The sequence below is a fragment of the Homo sapiens genome, chromosome 11, assembly GCF_000001405.40.
Source record: "Homo sapiens chromosome 11, GRCh38.p14 Primary Assembly".
In the NCBI taxonomy this organism is placed as follows: domain Eukaryota; kingdom Metazoa; phylum Chordata; class Mammalia; order Primates; family Hominidae; genus Homo; species Homo sapiens.
This window is the reverse complement of record NC_000011.10, coordinates 54,525,075-54,541,523: the sequence shown is the minus strand read 5'-3', so window position 1 is coordinate 54,541,523 and position 16,449 is coordinate 54,525,075. Positions and strand designations below refer to the sequence as shown.

The following is a 16,449-nucleotide window of genomic DNA, read 5'->3' as shown; positions in this document are numbered from 1 at the left end:
ATCACAAAGAAGTTGCTGAGGATCCTTCTCTGTAGTTTTTATGGGAAGATATTTCCTTTTCCACCTAAGGCCTCACTGCCCTCCAAATGTCCACTTGCAGATTCCAAAAAAATAGTGTTTCAAAACTGATCTACCAAAAGAAAGGTTCAACTCCTTGAGTTGAATGCACAGATCATGAAGAAATTTCTGAGAATGCTTCTGTCTAGTTTTAACATTAAGATATACCCGTTTCCAAAGAATTCCACATAGCAGTCAAATATCCACTAGCAGAATCTACAAAAGGGTATTTCAAAACGGCTCTATCTAAAGGAATATTCAACTATTTGGGTTGAACGCACACGTCACAAAGAAGTTTCTGAGAATGCTTCCGTCTAGTTTTTATGAGAAAATATTTCCTTTTTCAGCATAGGCCCCAAAGCGTTCCAAATATCCACTTGCAGATTCCAACAAAACAGTGTTTCAAAACCGCTCTATCAAAAGGAATGTTCAACTCTGTGGGTTGAATGCACCCATCACAACAAAGTTTCTGAGAATGCTTCTTTCTAGTTTTTTTGGGAAGATATTTACTTTTTCAACAAAGGTTTCAAAGCGTTCCAAATATCCACTCGCAGATTCCACAAAAATAGTGTTTCACAACTGCTTTACCAAAATAAAGGTTAAACTTTGTGAGTTGAAAGCACAGATCCCAAAGAAATTTCTGTCAATGCTTCTGTCTAGTTTCGATGTTAAGATATACCCGTTTCCAACGAATTCCTCAAAGCGGTCCAAATATCCATTTGCAGATTCGTCAAAAAGGCATTTCAAAACTACTCTATCTAAAGGAATGTTCAACTCTGTGAGTTGAATGCACGCATCACAAAGAAGTTTCTGATAATGCTTCAGTTTAGCTTTTATGTGAAGATTATCCCTTTTCCAACGAAATCTTCAAAGAGGTCCAAATATCCACTTGCAGATCCCACAGAAAGAGTGTTTAGAAACTGCTGTTTCAAATGCAATCTTCAACTCTGTGAGTTGAATGCAATCATCACAAAGCAGTTTCTGAGAATGCTTCTGTCTAGTTTTTATGTGAAGATATTTTCTTTTCCATTATAGACCTGAAAGCGCTCCAAATGTCCACTTGCAGATTCTACGAAAGGAGAGTTTCAAAACTCCTCTATGAAAAGCAATGTGAAACTGTGTGACTCGAACACAAACATCACAAAGAAGTTTCTGAGAATGTTTCAGTTTAGTTTTTCTGTGAAGATATTCCCGTTTCCAAAGAAATCTTCAAAGAGGTCCACATATCCTTTTACAGATTCTACAAAAAGAGAGTTTCCAAACGGCTCAATCAAAAGGAGGGCTCAACTCTGTGACTTGCATGCAATCATCACCCAGAAGATTCTGAGAATGCTTCTCTTGAGTTTTTACGTGAAGATATACCCGTTTCCAGCGAAGGGCACACAGTGGTCCAAATTCCCACCTGCAGATTCTACAAAAAGAGTGTTTCATACCTAAACTATGAAAGGAAGGTCAACTCTGTGAGTTGAATGCAAACCTCACAAAGAAGTTTCGGAGAATGCTTCCGTGTAGTTCTGGGAAGTTTCTCCCGTTTCCAACGAAATTCTCAGAGAGGTCCAAATATCCACTTGCAGAATCTACAAAAAGTGTCTTTGGAAATTGCTCCATCTACAGGAATGTTCAGCTCTCTGAGATAAATACAATCATCACAAAGAATTTTCTGTGAATGCTTCCGTTTGGTTTTTATGTGAAGTTATTTCCTTTAATACCGTAGGCCACAAAGCAGTCCAAATCTCCAATTGCAGATTGTACAAAAAGAGTGTTTACAAACTGCACTATCCATAGGAATGTTCAACTCTGTGAGTCGAATGCAATCATCACAAAGTAGTTTCTGAGAATGCTTCTATCTAGTTTTTATGTGAAGATGTTTCCTTTTCCACCACAGGCCTGGACGCACTCCAAATGTCCACTTGCAGTTCTACGAAAGGAGTGTCTCAAAACCGCTCTATGAAAAGCGAGGTTAAACTGTGTGATTCGAACACAAACATCACAAAGAAGTTTGGGAGAACGCTTCAGTATAGTTTTTCTGTGAAAATATTCCCGTTTCCAAAGAAATCTTCAAAGAAGTCCGCATGTCCTCTTACAGATTCTACAAAAAGAGAGTTTCCAAACTGCTCAATCAAATGGAGGGTTCAACTCTGTGACTTGACTGCAATCGTCACACAGAAGTTTCTGAGAATGCTTCTCTTGAGTTTTTACGGGAAGATATACCCGTTTCGAACGAAGGCCTCACAGTGGTCCAAATATCCACCTGCAGATTCTACCAAAAGAGTGTCTCAAAGCTGAACTATGAAAGGAAGGTTCAACTCTGTGAGTTGTATGCAAACATCACAAAGAAGTTTCGGAGAATGCTTCCGTGTAGTTCTGGGAAGTTTATCCCGTTTCCAACACAATCCTCAGAGAGGTCCGAATATCCACTTGCAGATCCTACAAAAAGTGTGTTTGGAAACTGCTCCGTCTAAAGGAATGTTCAGCTCTCTCAGTTAAATACAATCATCACAAAGAATTTTCTGTGAATGCTTCCATCTGGTTTTTATATGAAGTTATTTCCTTTACTACCGTAGGTCTCAAAGCCGTCCAAATATCCAACGGCAGATTCTACAAAAAGAGTGTTGACAAACTGTTCTATCCATAGGAATGTCCAACTCTGTGAGTCGAATGCAATCATCACAAAGTAGTTTCTGAGAATGCTTCTATCTAGTATTCATGTGAAGATATTTCCTTTTCCACCGCAGGCCTCAAAGCCCTCCAAATGTCCACTTGCACATTCTAGAAAAAGAGTGTTTCATAGCTGCTCTTTCCAGAGGAAAGTTCAACTCTGGAAGTTGAACACAAACATCACAAAGTAGTTTCTGAGAATGCTTCTGTTTAGTTTTTATGTGAAGATTAACCCGTTTCCAATGAAATCTTCAAAGAGTTCCACATATCCACTTGCACATTCCAAAGAAAGTGAGTTTCAAAACTGCTCCGTCAACAGGATTGTTCAACTCTGTGAGTTGAATGCAGTCCTCACAGGAAACATTCTGAGAATGCTTCTGTCTAGGTTTGATGTGAAGATATACCCGCTTCGAAGGAAGGCCACAGAGTGGTGCAAATATCCACATGCAGATTCTACAGGAAGAGTGTTTGAAAGCTGAACTATGAAAGGAAGGTTCAACCCTGTGAGTTGAATGCAAACATCACAAACAAGTTTCGGAGAATGCTTCCGATTACTTCTGGGAAGTTTATACAGTTTCCAACGAAATCCTCAGAGAAGTCCAAATTTCCACTTGCAGATTCTACAAAAAGTGTGTTTGGAAACTGCTCCATCAAAACGAATGTTCAACTCTGAGTTAAACTCGATAGTCACAAAGAACTTTCTGAGAGTGCTACTGTCTAGTTCTTATATGAAGTTCTTCCCTTTACTACCGTAGGCTTCAAAGTGGTCCAAATCTCCACTTGCAGATTCGACAGAGTGTTTCCAAACTGCTCTCTCAAAAGGAATGAAGGTCTAAATCACAGAGTTCGACGCTATCATCACAGAGTCTTTTCTGAGAGTTCTTCTATGTAGTTTTTATGAGAAGATATTTCCTTTTCCCCCACAGTCCACAAAGCACTCCAAATGTCCACCTACAGATTCTAGAAAACGAGCGTCTCCAAGGTGCTGTATCTGAGGGAAAGTTCAACTCTGTGAGGTGAATGCAAACATCACAAAGAAGTTTCTGAGAATGCTTCGGTTTAGCTTTTATCTGAAGTTTATCCCATTTCCAACGAAATCTTCAAAGAGGTCCAAATATCCACTGGCCGATCCCACAGAAAGAGTGTTTCGAAACTGCTGCTTCAAAAGGAATCTTCAACTCTGTGAGTTGAATGCAATCATCACAAAGAAGTTTCTGACAATGCTTCTCTCTACTTCTTATGTGAACATGTTTCCTTTTCCAGCACAGGCCTGGAAGCGCTCCACATGTCCACTTGCAGATTCTACGAAAGGAGTGTCTCAAAACCGCTCTGTGAAAAGCGAGGTTAAACTGTGTGACCCGAACACAAACATCACAAAGAAGTTTGTGAGAATGCTTGAGTTTAGTTTTTCTGTGAAGATATTCCCGTTTCCAAAGGAATCTTCAAAGAAGTCCGCATATCCTCTTACAGATTCTACAAAAAGAGAGTTTCCAAACTGCTCAATCAAATGGAGGGTTCAACTCTGTGACCTGAATGCAATCATCACACAGAAGTTTCTGAGAATGCTTCTCTTGAGTTTTTACGTGAAGGTATAACCGTTTCGAACGAAGGCCTCACAGTGGTCCAAATATCCACCTGCAGATTCTACCAAAAGACTGTCTCAAAGCTGAACTATGAAAGGAATGTTCAACTCTGTGAGTTGTATGCAAACATCACAAAGAAGTTTTGGAGAATGCTTCCGTGTAGTTCTGGGAAGTTTATCCCGTTTCCAATGCAATCCTCAGAGAGGTCCGAATATCCACCTGCAGATCCTACAAAAAGTGTGTTTGGAAACTGCTCCATCTAAAGGAATGTTCAGCTCTCTCAGTTAAATACAATCATCGCAAAGAATTTTCTGTGAATGCTTCCGTTTGCTTTTTATGTGAAGTTATTTCCTTTACTTCCATAGGCCTCAAAGCCGTCCAAATCTCCAATTGCAGATTCTACAAAAAGAGTGTTTACAAACTGTTCTATCCATAGGAATGTCCAACTCTGTGAGTCCGATGCAATCATCACAAAGTGGTATCTGAGAATGCTTCTATCTAGTTTTCATGTGAAGATATTTCCCTTTCCACCGCAGGCCTCAAAGCCCTCCAAATGTCCACTTGCACATTCTAGAAAAAGAGCGTTTCATAGCTGCTCTTTCCAGAGGAAAGTTCAATTCCGGAAGTTGAACACAAACATCACAAAGTAGTTTCTGAGAATGCTTCTGTTTAGTTTTTATGTGAAGATGAACCCGTTTCCAACGAAATCTTCAAAGAGGTCCACATATCCACTTGCAGATTCCAAAGAAAGGGAGTTTCAAAACTGCTCCGTCAACAGGATTGTTCAACTCTGTGAGTTGAATGCAGTCCTCACAGGAAACATTCTGAGAATGCTTCTGTCTAGGTTTGATGTGAAGATATACCCGTTTCGAAGGAAGGCCACAAAGTGGTGCAAATATCCACTTGCAGATTCTACAGAAAGAGTGTTTGAAAGCTGAACTATGAAAGGAAGGTTCAGCCTGTGAGTTGAATGCAAACATCACAAAGAAGTTTCGGAGAATGCTTCCGATTACTTCTGGGAAGTTTATCCCCTTTCCAACGAAATCCTTAGAGAAGTCCAAATTTACACTTGCAGATTCTACCAAAAGTGTGTTTGGAAACTGCTCCATCAAAACGAATGTTCAGCTCTCTGAGTTAAACTCCATCGTCACAAAGAATTTTCTGAGAGTGCTACTGTCTAGTTCTTATATGAAGTTCTTCCCTTTACTACCATAGGCCTCAAAGCGGTCCAAATCTCCACTTGCAGATTCGACAGAAAGAGTGTTTCCAAACTGCTCTCTCAAAAGGAATGAATGTCCAACTCTGTGAGTTGAATGCTATCATCACAGAGTCGTTTCTGAGAGTGCTTCTATGTAGTTTTTATGAGAAGATATTCCCTTTTCCACCACAGTCCACAAAGCCCTCCAAATGTCCACCTGCAGATTCTAGAAAACGAGCGTTTCAAAGGTGCTGTATCAGAGGGAAAGTTCGACTCTGTGAGGTGAATGCAAACATCACAAAGAAGTTTCTGAGAATGCTTCGGTTTAGCTTTTATGTGAAGTTTATCCCATTTCCAACGAAATCTTCGAAGAGGTCCAAATATCCACTGGCCGATCCCACAGAAAGAGTGTTTTGAAACTGCTGTTTCAAACGGGATCTTCAACTCTGTGAGTTGAATGCAATCATCACAAAGACGTTTCTGACAATGCTTCTCTCTAGTTCTTATGTGAAGATGTTTCCTTTTCCACCACAGGCCTGGAAGCGCTCCACATGTCCACTTGCAGATTCTACAAAAGGAGTGTCTCAAAACCGCTCTGTGAAAAGCGAGGTTAAACTGTGTGACCCGAACACAAACATCACAAAGAAGTTTGCGAGAATGCTTCAGTTTAGTTTTTCTGTGAAGATATTCCCGTTTCCAAAGAAATCTTCAAAGAAGTCCGCATATCCTCTTACAGATTCTACAAAAAGAGAGTTTCCAAACTGCTCAATCAAATGGAGGGTTCAACTCTGTGACCTGAATGCAATCACCACACAGAAGTTTCTGAGAATGCTCCTCTTGAGTTTTTACGTGAAGGTGTCCCCGTTTCGAACGAAGGCCTCACAGTGGTCCAAATATCCACCTGCAGAATCTACAAAAAGAGTGTCTCAAAGCTGAACTATGAAAGGAAGGTTCAACTCTGTGAGTTGTATGCAAACATCACAAAGAAGTTTCGGAGAATGCTTCCGTGTAGTTCTGGGAAGTTTATCCCGTTTCCAATGCAATCCTCAGAGAGGTCCGAATATCCACCTGCAGATCCTACAAAAAGTGAGTTTGGAAACTGCTCCATCTAAAGGAATGTTCAGCTCTCTCAGTTAAATACAATCATCGCAAAGAATTTTCTGTGAATGCTTCCGTTTGTTTTTGTGTGAAGTTATTTCCTTTACTTCCGTAGGCCTCAAAGCCGTCCAAATCTCCAATTGCAGATTCTACAAAAAGAGTGTTTACAAACTGTTCTATCCATAGGAATGTCCAACTCTGTGAGTCCGATGCAATCATCAAAAAGTGGTTTCTGAGAATGCTTCTATCTAGTTTTCATGTGAAGATATTTCCCTTTCCACCGCAGGCCTCAAAGCCCTCCAAATGTCCACTTGCACATTCTAGAAAAAGAGCGTTTCATAGCTGCTCTTTCCAGAGGAAAGTTCAATTCCGGAAGTTGAACACAAACATCACAAAGTAGTTTCTGAGAATGCTTCTGTTTAGTTTTTATGTGAAGATGAACCCGTTTCCAACGAAATCTTCAAAGAGGTCCACATATCCACTTACAGATTCCAAAGAAAGGGAGTTTCAAAACTGCTCCGTCAACAGGATTGTTCAACTCTGTGAGTTGAATGCAGTCCTCACAGGAAACATTCTGAGAATGCTTCTGTCTAGGTTTGATGTGAAGATATACCCGTTTCGAAGGAAGGCCACAAAGTGGTGCAAATATCCACTTGCAGATTCTACAGAAAGAGTGTTTGAAAGCTGAACTTGGAAGGATGGTTCAGCCTGTGAGTTGAATGCAAACATCACAAAGAAGTTTCGGAGAATGCTTCCGATTACTTCTGGGAAGTTTATCCCCTTTCCAACGAAATCCTTAGAGAAGTCCAAATTTACACTTGCAAATTCTACCAAAAGTGTGTTTGGAAACTGCTCCATCAAAGCGAATGTTCAGCTCTCTGAGTTAAACTCCATCGTCACAAAGAATTTTCTGAGAGTGCTACTGTCTAGTTCTTATATGAAGTTCTTCCCTTTACTACCATAGGCCTCAAAGCGGTCCAAATCTCCACTTGCAGATTCGACAGAAAGAGTGATTCCAAACTGCTCTCTCAAAAGGAATGAATGTCCAACTCTGTGAGTTGAATGCTATCATCACAGAGTCGTTTCTGAGAGTGCTTCTATGTAGTTTTTATGAGAAGATATTCCCTTTTCCACCACAGTCCACAAAGCCCTCCCAATGTCCACCTGCAGATTCTAGCAAACGAGCGTTTCAAAGGTGCTGTATCAGAGGGAAAGTTCGACTCTGTGAGGTGAATGCAAACATCACAAAGAAGTTTCTGAGAATGCTTCGGTTTAGCTTTTATGTGAAGTTTATCCCATTTCCAACGAAATCTTCGAAGAGGTCCAAATATCCACTGGCCGATCCCACAGAAAGAGTGTTTCAAAACTGCTGTTTCAAACGGAATCTTCAACTCTGTGAGTTGAATGCAATCATCACAAAGACGTTTCTGACAATACTTCTCTCTAGTTCTTATGTGAAGATGTTTCCTTTTCCACCACAGGCCTGGAAGCGCTCCACATGTCCACTTGCAGATTCTACGAAAGGAGTGTCTCAAAACCGCTCTGTGAAAAGCGAGGTTAAACTGTGTGACCCGAACACAAACATCACAAAGAAGTTTGCGAGAATGCTTCAGTTTAGTTTTTCTGTGAAGATATTCCCGTTTCCAAAGAAATCTTCAAAGAAGTCCGCATATCCTCTTACAGATTCTACAAAAAGAGAGTTTCCAAACTGCTCAATCAAATGGAGGGTTCAACTCTGTGACCTGAATGCAATCATCACACAGAAGTTTCTGAGAATGCTCCTCTTGAGTTTTTACGTGAAGGTGTACCCGTTTCGAACGAAGACCTCACAGTGGTCCAAATATCCACCTGCAGATTCTACCAAAAGAGTGTCTCAAAGCTGAAGTATGAAAGGAAGGTTCAACTCTGTGAGTTGTATGCAAACATCACAAAGAAGTTTCGGAGAATGCTTCCGTGTAGTTCTGGGAAGTTTATCCCGTTTCCAACGCAATCCTCAGAGAGGTCCGAATATCCACCTGCAGATCCTACAAAAAGTGTGTTTGGAAACTGCTCCATCTAAAGGAATGTTCAGCTCTCTCAGTTAAATACAATCATCGCAAAGAATTTTCTGTGAATGCTTCCATTTGGTTTTTATGTGAAGTTATTTCCTTTACTTCCGTAGGCCTCAAAGCCGTCCAAATCTCCAATTGCAGATTCTACAAAAAGAGTGTTTACAAACTGTTCTATCCATAGGAATGTCCAACTCTGTGAGTCCGATGCAATCATCAAAAAGTGGTTTCTGAGAATGCTTCTATATAGTTTTCATGTGAAGATATTTCCCTTTCCACCGCAGGCCTCAAAGCCCTCCAAATGTCCACTTGCACATTCTAGAAAAAGAGCGTTTCATAGCTGCTCTTTCCAGAGGAAAGTTCAATTCCGGAAGTTGGACACAAACATCACAAAGTAGTTTCTGAGAATGCTTCTGTTTAGTTTTTATGTGAAGATGAACCCGTTTCCAACGAAATCTTCAAAGAGGTCCACATATCCACTTGCAGATTCCAAAGAAAGAGAGTTTCAAAACTGCTCCATCAACAGGAGTGTTCAACTCTGTGAGTTGAATGCAGTCCTCACAGGAAACATTCTGAGAATGCTTCTGTCTAGGTTTGATGTGAAGATATACCCGTTTCGAAGGAAGGCCACAAAGTGGTGCAAATATCCACTTGCAGATTCTACAGAAAGAGTGTTTGAAAGCTGAACTATGAAACGAAGGTTCAGCCTGTGAGTTGAATGCAAACATCACAAAGAAGTTTCGGAGAATGCTTCCGATTACTTCTGGGAAGTTTATCCCCTTTCCAACGAAATCCTTAGAGAAGTCCAAATTTACACTTGCAGATTCTACCAAAAGTGTGTTTGGAAACTGCTCCATCAAAACGAATGTTCAGCTCTCTGAGTTAAACTCCATCGTCACAAAGAATTTTCTGAGAGTGCTACTGTCTAGTTCTTATATGAAGTTCTTCCCTTTACTACCATAGGCCTCAAAGCGGTCCAAATCTCCACTTGCAGATTCGACAGAAAGAGTGTTTCCAAACTGCTCTCTCAAAAGGAATGAATGTCCAACTCTGTGAGTTGAATGCTATCATCACAGAGTCGTTTCTGAGAGTGCTTCTATGTAGTTTTTGTGAGAAGATATTCCCTTTTCCACCACAGTCCACAAAGCCCTCCCAATGTCCACCTGCAGATTCTAGCAAACGAGCGTTTCAAAGGTGCTGTATCAGAGGGAAAGTTCGACTCTGTGAGGTGAATCCAAACATCACAAAGAAGTTTCTGAGAATGCTTCGGTTTAGCTTTTATGTGAAGTTTATCCCATTTCCAACGAAATCTTCGAAGAGGTCCAAATATCCACTGGCCGATCCCACAGAAAGAGTGTTTCGAAACTGCTGTTTCAAACGGAATCTTCAACTCTGTGAGTTGAATGCAATCATCACAAAGACGTTTCTGACAATACTTCTCCCTAGTTCTTATGTGAAGATGTTTCCTTTTCCACCACAGGCCTGGAAGCGCTCCACATGTCCACTTGCAGATTCTACGAAAGGAGTGTCTCAAAACCGCTCTGTGAAAAGCGAGGTTAAACTGTGTGACCCGAACACAAACATCACAAAGAAGTTTGCGAGAATGCTTCAGTTTAGTTTTTCTGTGAAGATATTCCCGTTTCCAAAGAAATCTTCAAAGAAGTCCGCATATCCTCTTACAGATTCTACAAAAAGAGAGTTTCCAAACTGCTCAATCAAATGGAGGGTTCAACTCTGTGACCTGAATGCAATCATCACACAGAAGTTTCTGAGAATGCTCCTCTTGAGTTTTTACGTGAAGGTGTACCTGTTTCGAACGAAGGCCTCACAGTGGTGCAAATATCCACCTGCAGATTCTACCAAAAGAGTGTCTCAAAGCTGAACTATGAAAGGAAGGTTCAACTCTGTGAGTTGTATGCAAACATCACAAAGAAGTTTCGGAGAATGCTTCCGTGTAGTTCTGGGAAGTTTATCCCGTTTCCAACGCAATCCTCAGAGAGGTCCGAATATCCACCTGCAGATCCTACAAAAAGTGTGTTTGGAAACTGCTCCATCTAAAGGAATGTTCAGCTCTCTCAGTTAAATACAATCATCGCAAAGAATTTTCTGTGAATGCTTCCATTTGGTTTTTATGTGAAGTTATTTCCTTTACTTCCGTAGGCCTCAAAGCCGTCCAAATCTCCAATTGCAGATTCTACAAAAAGAGTGTTTACAAACTGTTCTATCCATAGGAATGTCCAACTCTGTGAGTCCGATGCAATCATCAAAAAGTGGTTTCTGAGAATGCTTCTATATAGTTTTCATGTGAAGATATTTCCCTTTCCACCGCAGGCCTCAAAGCCCTCCAAATGTCCACTTGCACATTCTAGAAAAAGAGCGTTTCATAGCTGCTCTTTCCAGAGGAAAGTTCAATTCCGGAAGTTGGACACAAACATCACAAAGTAGTTTCTGAGAATGCTTCTGTTTAGTTTTTATGTGAAGATGAACCCGTTTCCAACGAAATCTTCAAAGAGGTCCACATATCCACTTGCAGATTCCAAAGAAAGAGAGTTTCAAAACTGCTCCATCAACAGGAGTGTTCAACTCTGTGAGTTGAATGCAGTCCTCACAGGAAACATTCTGAGAATGCTTCTGTCTAGGTTTGATGTGAAGATATACCCGTTTCGAAGGAAGGCCACAAAGTGGTGCAAATATCCACTTGCAGATTCTACAGAAAGAGTGTTTGAAAGCTGAACTATGAAACGAAGGTTCAGCCTGTGAGTTGAATGCAAACATCACAAAGAAGTTTCGGAGAATGCTTCCGATTACTTCTGGGAAGTTTATCCCCTTTCCAACGAAATCCTTAGAGAAGTCCAAATTTACACTTGCAGATTCTACCAAAAGTGTGTTTGGAAACTGCTCCATCAAAACGAATGTTCAGCTCTCTGAGTTAAACTCCATCGTCACAAAGAATTTTCTGAGAGTGCTACTGTCTAGTTCTTATATGAAGTTCTTCCCTTTACTACCATAGGCCTCAAAGCGGTCCAAATCTCCACTTGCAGATTCGACAGAAAGAGTGTTTCCAAACTGCTCTCTCAAAAGGAATGAATGTCCAACTCTGTGAGTTGAATGCTATCATCACAGAGTCGTTTCTGAGAGTGCTTCTATGTAGTTTTTGTGAGAAGATATTCCCTTTTCCACCACAGTCCACAAAGCCCTCCCAATGTCCACCTGCAGATTCTAGCAAACGAGCGTTTCAAAGGTGCTGTATCAGAGGGAAAGTTCGACTCTGTGAGGTGAATCCAAACATCACAAAGAAGTTTCTGAGAATGCTTCGGTTTAGCTTTTATGTGAAGTTTATCCCATTTCCAACGAAATCTTCGAAGAGGTCCAAATATCCACTGGCCGATCCCACAGAAAGAGTGTTTCGAAACTGCTGTTTCAAACGGAATCTTCAACTCTGTGAGTTGAATGCAATCATCACAAAGACGTTTCTGACAATACTTCTCCCTAGTTCTTATGTGAAGATGTTTCCTTTTCCACCACAGGCCTGGAAGCGCTCCACATGTCCACTTGCAGATTCTACGAAAGGAGTGTCTCAAAACCGCTCTGTGAAAAGCGAGGTTAAACTGTGTGACCCGAACACAAACATCACAAAGAAGTTTGCGAGAATGCTTCAGTTTAGTTTTTCTGTGAAGATATTCCCGTTTCCAAAGAAATCTTCAAAGAAGTCCGCATATCCTCTTACAGATTCTACAAAAAGAGAGTTTCCAAACTGCTCAATCAAATGGAGGGTTCAACTCTGTGACCTGAATGCAATCATCACACAGAAGTTTCTGAGAATGCTCCTCTTGAGTTTTTACGTGAAGGTGTACCTGTTTCGAACGAAGGCCTCACAGTGGTGCAAATATCCACCTGCAGATTCTACCAAAAGAGTGTCTCAAAGCTGAACTATGAAAGGAAGGTTCAACTCTGTGAGTTGTATGCAAACATCACAAAGAAGTTTCGGAGAATGCTTCCGTGTAGTTCTGGGAAGTTTATCCCGTTTCCAACGCAATCCTCAGAGAGGTCCGAATATCCACCTGCAGATCCTACAAAAAGTGTGTTTGGAAACTGCTCCATCTAAAGGAATGTTCAGCTCTCTCAGTTAAATACAATCATCGCAAAGAATTTTCTGTGAATGCTTCCGTTTGGTTTTTATGTGAAGTTATTTCCTTTACTTCCGTAGGCCTCAAAGCCGTCCAAATCTCCAATTGCAGATTCTACAAAAAGAGTGTTTACAAACTGTTCTACCCATAGGAATGTCCAACTCTGTGAGTCCGATGCAATCATCAAAAAGTGGTTTCTGAGAATGCTTCTATCTAGTTTTCATGTGAAGATATTTCCCTTTCCACCGCAGGCCTCAAAGCCCTCCAAATGTCCACTTGCACATTCTAGAAAAAGAGCATTTCATAGCTGCTCTTTCCAGAGGAAAGTTCAATTCCGGAAGTTGAACACAAACATCACAAAGTAGTTTCTGAGAATGCTTCTGTTTAGTTTTTATGTGAAGATGAACCCGTTTCCAACGAAATCTTCAAAGAGGTCCACATATCCACTTGCAGATTCCAAAGAAAGGGAGTTTCAAAACTGCTCCGTCAACAGGATTGTTCAACTCTGTGAGTTGAATGCAGTCCTCACAGGAAACATTCTGAGAATGCTTCTGTCTAGGTTTGATGTGAAGATATACCCGTTTCGAAGGAAGGCCACAAAGTGGTGCAAATATCCACTTGCAGATTCTACAGAAAGAGTGTTTGAAAGCTGAACTATGAAAGGAATGTTCAACCCTGTGAGTTGAATGCAAACATCACAAAGAAATTTCGGAGAATGCTTCCGATTACTTCTGTGAAGTTTATCCCCTTTCCAACGAAATCCTCAGAGAAGTCCAAATTTACACTTGCAGATTCTACAGAAAGTGTGTTTGGAAACTGCTCCATCAAAACGAATGTTCAGCTCTCTGAGTTAAACTCCATCGTCACAAAGAATTTTCTGAGAGTGCTACTGTCTAGTTCTTATATGAAGTTCTTCCCCTTACTACCATAGGCCTCACAGCGGTCCAAATCTCCACTTGTAGATTCAACAGAAAGAGTGTTTCCAAACTGCTCTCTCAAAAGGAATGAATGTCCAACTCTGTGAGTTGAATGCTATCATCACAGAGTCGTTTCTGAGAGTGCTTCTATGTCGTTTTTATGAGAAGATATTCCCTTTTCCACCACAGTCCACAAAGCCCTCCCAATGTCCACCTGCAGATTTTAGAAAACGAGCATTTCAAAGGTGCTGTATCAGAGGGAAAGTTCGACTCTGTGAGGTGAATGCAAACATCACAAAGAAGTTTCTGAGAATGCTTCGGTTTAGCTTTTATGTGAAGTTTATGCCATTTCCAACGAAATCTTCAAAGAGGTCCAAATATCCACTGGCCGATCCCACAGAAAGAGTGTTTCGAAACTGCTGTTTCAAACGGAATCTTCAACTCTGCGAGTTGAATGCAATCATCACAAAGAAGTTTCTGACAATGCTTCTCTCTAGTTCTTATATGAAGATGTTTCCTTTTCCACCACAGGCCTGGAAGCCCTCCACATGTCCACTTGCAGATTCTACGAAAGGAGTGTCTCAAAACCGCTCTGTGAAAAGCGAGGTTAAACTGTGTGACTCGAACACAAACATCACAAAGAAGTTTGCGAGAATGCTTCAGTTTAGTTTTTCTGTGAAGATATTCCCGTTTTCAAAGAAATCTTCAAAGAAGTCCGCATATCCTCTTACAGATTCTACAAAAAGAGAGTTTCCAAACTGCTCAATCAAATGGAGGGTTCAACTCTGTGACCTGAATGCAATCATCACACAGAAGTTTCTGACAATGCTCCTCTTGAGTTTTTACGTGAAGGTGTACCCGTTTCGAACGAAGGCCTCACAGTGGTCCAAATATCCACCTGCAGATTCTACCAAAAGTGTGTCTCAAAGCTGAAGTATGAAAGGAAGGTTCAACTCTGTGAGTTGTATGCAAACATCACAAAGAACTTTCGGAGAATGCTTCCGTGTAGTTCTGGGAAGTTTATCCCGTTTCCAATGCAATCCTCAGAGAGGTCCGAATATCCACCTGCAGATCCTACAAAAAGTGTGTTTGGAAACTGCTCCATCTAAAGGAATGTTCAGCTCTCTCAGTTAAATACAATCATCGCAAAGAATTTTCTGTGAATGCTTCCGTTTGGTTTTTATGTGAAGTTATTTCTTTTACTTCCGTAGGCCTCAAAGCCGTCCAAATCTCCAATTGCAGATTCTACAAAAAGAGTGTTTACAAACTGTTCTATCCATAGGAATGTCCAACTCTGTGAGTCCGATGCAATCATCCCAAAGTGGTTTCTGAGAATGCTTCTATCTAGTTTTCATGTGAAGATATTTCCCTTTCCACCGCAGGCCTCAAAGCCCTCCAAATGTCCACTTGCACATTCTAGAAAAAGAGCGTTTCATAGCTGCTCTTTCCAGAAGAAAGTTCAATTCCGGAAGTTGAACACAAACATCACAAAGTAGTTTCTGAGAATGCTTCTGTTTAGTTTTTATGTGAAGATGAACCCGTTTCCAACGGAATCTTCAAAGAGGTCCACATATCCACTTGCAGATTCCAAAGAAAGGGAGTTTCAAAACTGCTCCATTAACAGGATTGTTCAACTCTGTGAGTTGAATGCAGTCCTCACAGGAAACATTCTGAGAATGCTTCTGTCTAGGTTTGATGTGAAGATATACCCGTTTCGAAGGAAGACCACAAAGTGGTGCAAATATCCACTTGCAGATTCCACAGAAAGAGTGTTTGAAAGCTGAACTATGAAACGAAGGTTCAGCCTGTGAGTTGAATGCAAACATCACAAAGAAGTTTCGGAGAATGCTTCCGATTACTTCTGGGAAGTTTATCCCCTTTCCAACGAAATCCTTAGAGAAGTCCAAATTTACACTTGCAGATTCTACCAAAAGTGTGTTTGGAAACTGCTCCATCAAAACGAATGTTCAGCTCTCTGAGTTAAACTCCATCGTCACAAAGAATTTTCTGAGAATGCTACTGTCTAGTTCTTATATGAAGTTCTTCCCTTTACTACCATAGGCCTCAAAGCGGTCCAAATCTCCACTTGCAGATTCGACAGAAAGAGTGTTTCCAAACTGCTCTCTCAAAAGAAATGAATGTCCAACTCTGTGAGTTGAATGCTATCATCACAGAGTCGTTTCTGAGAGTGCTTCTATGTAGTTTTTATGAGAAGATATTCCCTTTTACACCACAGTCCACAAAGCCCTCCCAATGTCCACCTGAAGATTCTAGAAAACGAGCGTTTCAAAGGTGCTGTATCAGAGGGAAAGTTCGACTCTGTGAGGTGAATGCAAACATCACAAAGAAGTTTCTGAGAATGCTTCGGTTTAGCTTTTATGTGAAGTTTATCCCATTTCCAACGAAATCTTCGAAGAGGTCCAAATATCCACTGGCCGATCCCACAGAAAGAGTGTTTTGAAACTGCTGTTTCATACAGGATCTTCAACTCTGTGAGTTGAATGCAATCATCACAAAGACCTTTCTGACAATGCTTCTCTCTAGTTCTTATGTGAAGATGTTTCCTTTTCCACCACAGGCCTGGAAGCGCTCCACATGTCCACTTGCAGATTGTACAAAAGGAGTGTCTCAAAACCGCTCTGTGAAAAGCGAGGTTAAACTGTGTGACCCGAACACAAACATCACAAAGAAGTTTGCGAGAATGCTTCAGTTTAGTTTTTCTGTGAAGATATTCCCGTTTCCAAAGAAATCTTCAAAGAATTC

At 40.8% G+C, this 16,449-nt stretch overlaps 11 annotated features.

Moving 5' to 3' along the window:
• Positions 1,431-2,125: an enhancer, noted in NCBI's record as "OCT4-NANOG-H3K27ac-H3K4me1 hESC enhancer chr11:51579187-51579881 (GRCh37/hg19 assembly coordinates)". NCBI's record gives its function as "activates a minimal SCP1, AML or CMV promoter by ChIP-STARR-seq in naive and primed H9 embryonic stem cells {active_cell/tissue: H9 hESC(naive and primed)}" and the evidence as "EXISTENCE:reporter gene assay evidence [ECO:0000049][PMID:30033119]".
• Positions 2,126-2,820: an enhancer, noted in NCBI's record as "OCT4-NANOG-H3K27ac-H3K4me1 hESC enhancer chr11:51579882-51580576 (GRCh37/hg19 assembly coordinates)". NCBI's record gives its function as "activates a minimal SCP1, AML or CMV promoter by ChIP-STARR-seq in naive and primed H9 embryonic stem cells {active_cell/tissue: H9 hESC(naive and primed)}" and the evidence as "EXISTENCE:reporter gene assay evidence [ECO:0000049][PMID:30033119]".
• Positions 2,821-3,515: an enhancer, noted in NCBI's record as "OCT4-NANOG-H3K27ac-H3K4me1 hESC enhancer chr11:51580577-51581271 (GRCh37/hg19 assembly coordinates)". NCBI's record gives its function as "activates a minimal SCP1, AML or CMV promoter by ChIP-STARR-seq in naive and primed H9 embryonic stem cells {active_cell/tissue: H9 hESC(naive and primed)}" and the evidence as "EXISTENCE:reporter gene assay evidence [ECO:0000049][PMID:30033119]".
• Positions 4,573-5,094: an enhancer, noted in NCBI's record as "OCT4-NANOG-H3K27ac-H3K4me1 hESC enhancer chr11:51582329-51582850 (GRCh37/hg19 assembly coordinates)". NCBI's record gives its function as "activates a minimal SCP1, AML or CMV promoter by ChIP-STARR-seq in naive and primed H9 embryonic stem cells {active_cell/tissue: H9 hESC(naive and primed)}" and the evidence as "EXISTENCE:reporter gene assay evidence [ECO:0000049][PMID:30033119]".
• Positions 5,095-5,615: an enhancer, noted in NCBI's record as "OCT4-NANOG-H3K27ac-H3K4me1 hESC enhancer chr11:51582851-51583371 (GRCh37/hg19 assembly coordinates)". NCBI's record gives its function as "activates a minimal SCP1, AML or CMV promoter by ChIP-STARR-seq in naive and primed H9 embryonic stem cells {active_cell/tissue: H9 hESC(naive and primed)}" and the evidence as "EXISTENCE:reporter gene assay evidence [ECO:0000049][PMID:30033119]".
• Positions 5,616-6,138: an enhancer, noted in NCBI's record as "OCT4-NANOG-H3K27ac-H3K4me1 hESC enhancer chr11:51583372-51583894 (GRCh37/hg19 assembly coordinates)". NCBI's record gives its function as "activates a minimal SCP1, AML or CMV promoter by ChIP-STARR-seq in naive and primed H9 embryonic stem cells {active_cell/tissue: H9 hESC(naive and primed)}" and the evidence as "EXISTENCE:reporter gene assay evidence [ECO:0000049][PMID:30033119]".
• Positions 7,708-8,218: an enhancer, noted in NCBI's record as "OCT4-H3K27ac-H3K4me1 hESC enhancer chr11:51585464-51585974 (GRCh37/hg19 assembly coordinates)". NCBI's record gives its function as "activates a minimal SCP1, AML or CMV promoter by ChIP-STARR-seq in naive H9 embryonic stem cells {active_cell/tissue: H9 hESC(naive)}" and the evidence as "EXISTENCE:reporter gene assay evidence [ECO:0000049][PMID:30033119]".
• Positions 8,729-9,239: an enhancer, noted in NCBI's record as "OCT4-NANOG-H3K27ac-H3K4me1 hESC enhancer chr11:51586485-51586995 (GRCh37/hg19 assembly coordinates)". NCBI's record gives its function as "activates a minimal SCP1, AML or CMV promoter by ChIP-STARR-seq in naive and primed H9 embryonic stem cells {active_cell/tissue: H9 hESC(naive and primed)}" and the evidence as "EXISTENCE:reporter gene assay evidence [ECO:0000049][PMID:30033119]".
• Positions 9,240-9,749: an enhancer, noted in NCBI's record as "OCT4-NANOG-H3K27ac-H3K4me1 hESC enhancer chr11:51586996-51587505 (GRCh37/hg19 assembly coordinates)". NCBI's record gives its function as "activates a minimal SCP1, AML or CMV promoter by ChIP-STARR-seq in naive and primed H9 embryonic stem cells {active_cell/tissue: H9 hESC(naive and primed)}" and the evidence as "EXISTENCE:reporter gene assay evidence [ECO:0000049][PMID:30033119]".
• Positions 10,925-11,758: an enhancer, noted in NCBI's record as "OCT4-NANOG-H3K27ac-H3K4me1 hESC enhancer chr11:51588681-51589514 (GRCh37/hg19 assembly coordinates)". NCBI's record gives its function as "activates a minimal SCP1, AML or CMV promoter by ChIP-STARR-seq in naive and primed H9 embryonic stem cells {active_cell/tissue: H9 hESC(naive and primed)}" and the evidence as "EXISTENCE:reporter gene assay evidence [ECO:0000049][PMID:30033119]".
• Positions 13,006-13,859: an enhancer, noted in NCBI's record as "OCT4-NANOG-H3K27ac-H3K4me1 hESC enhancer chr11:51590762-51591615 (GRCh37/hg19 assembly coordinates)". NCBI's record gives its function as "activates a minimal SCP1, AML or CMV promoter by ChIP-STARR-seq in naive and primed H9 embryonic stem cells {active_cell/tissue: H9 hESC(naive and primed)}" and the evidence as "EXISTENCE:reporter gene assay evidence [ECO:0000049][PMID:30033119]".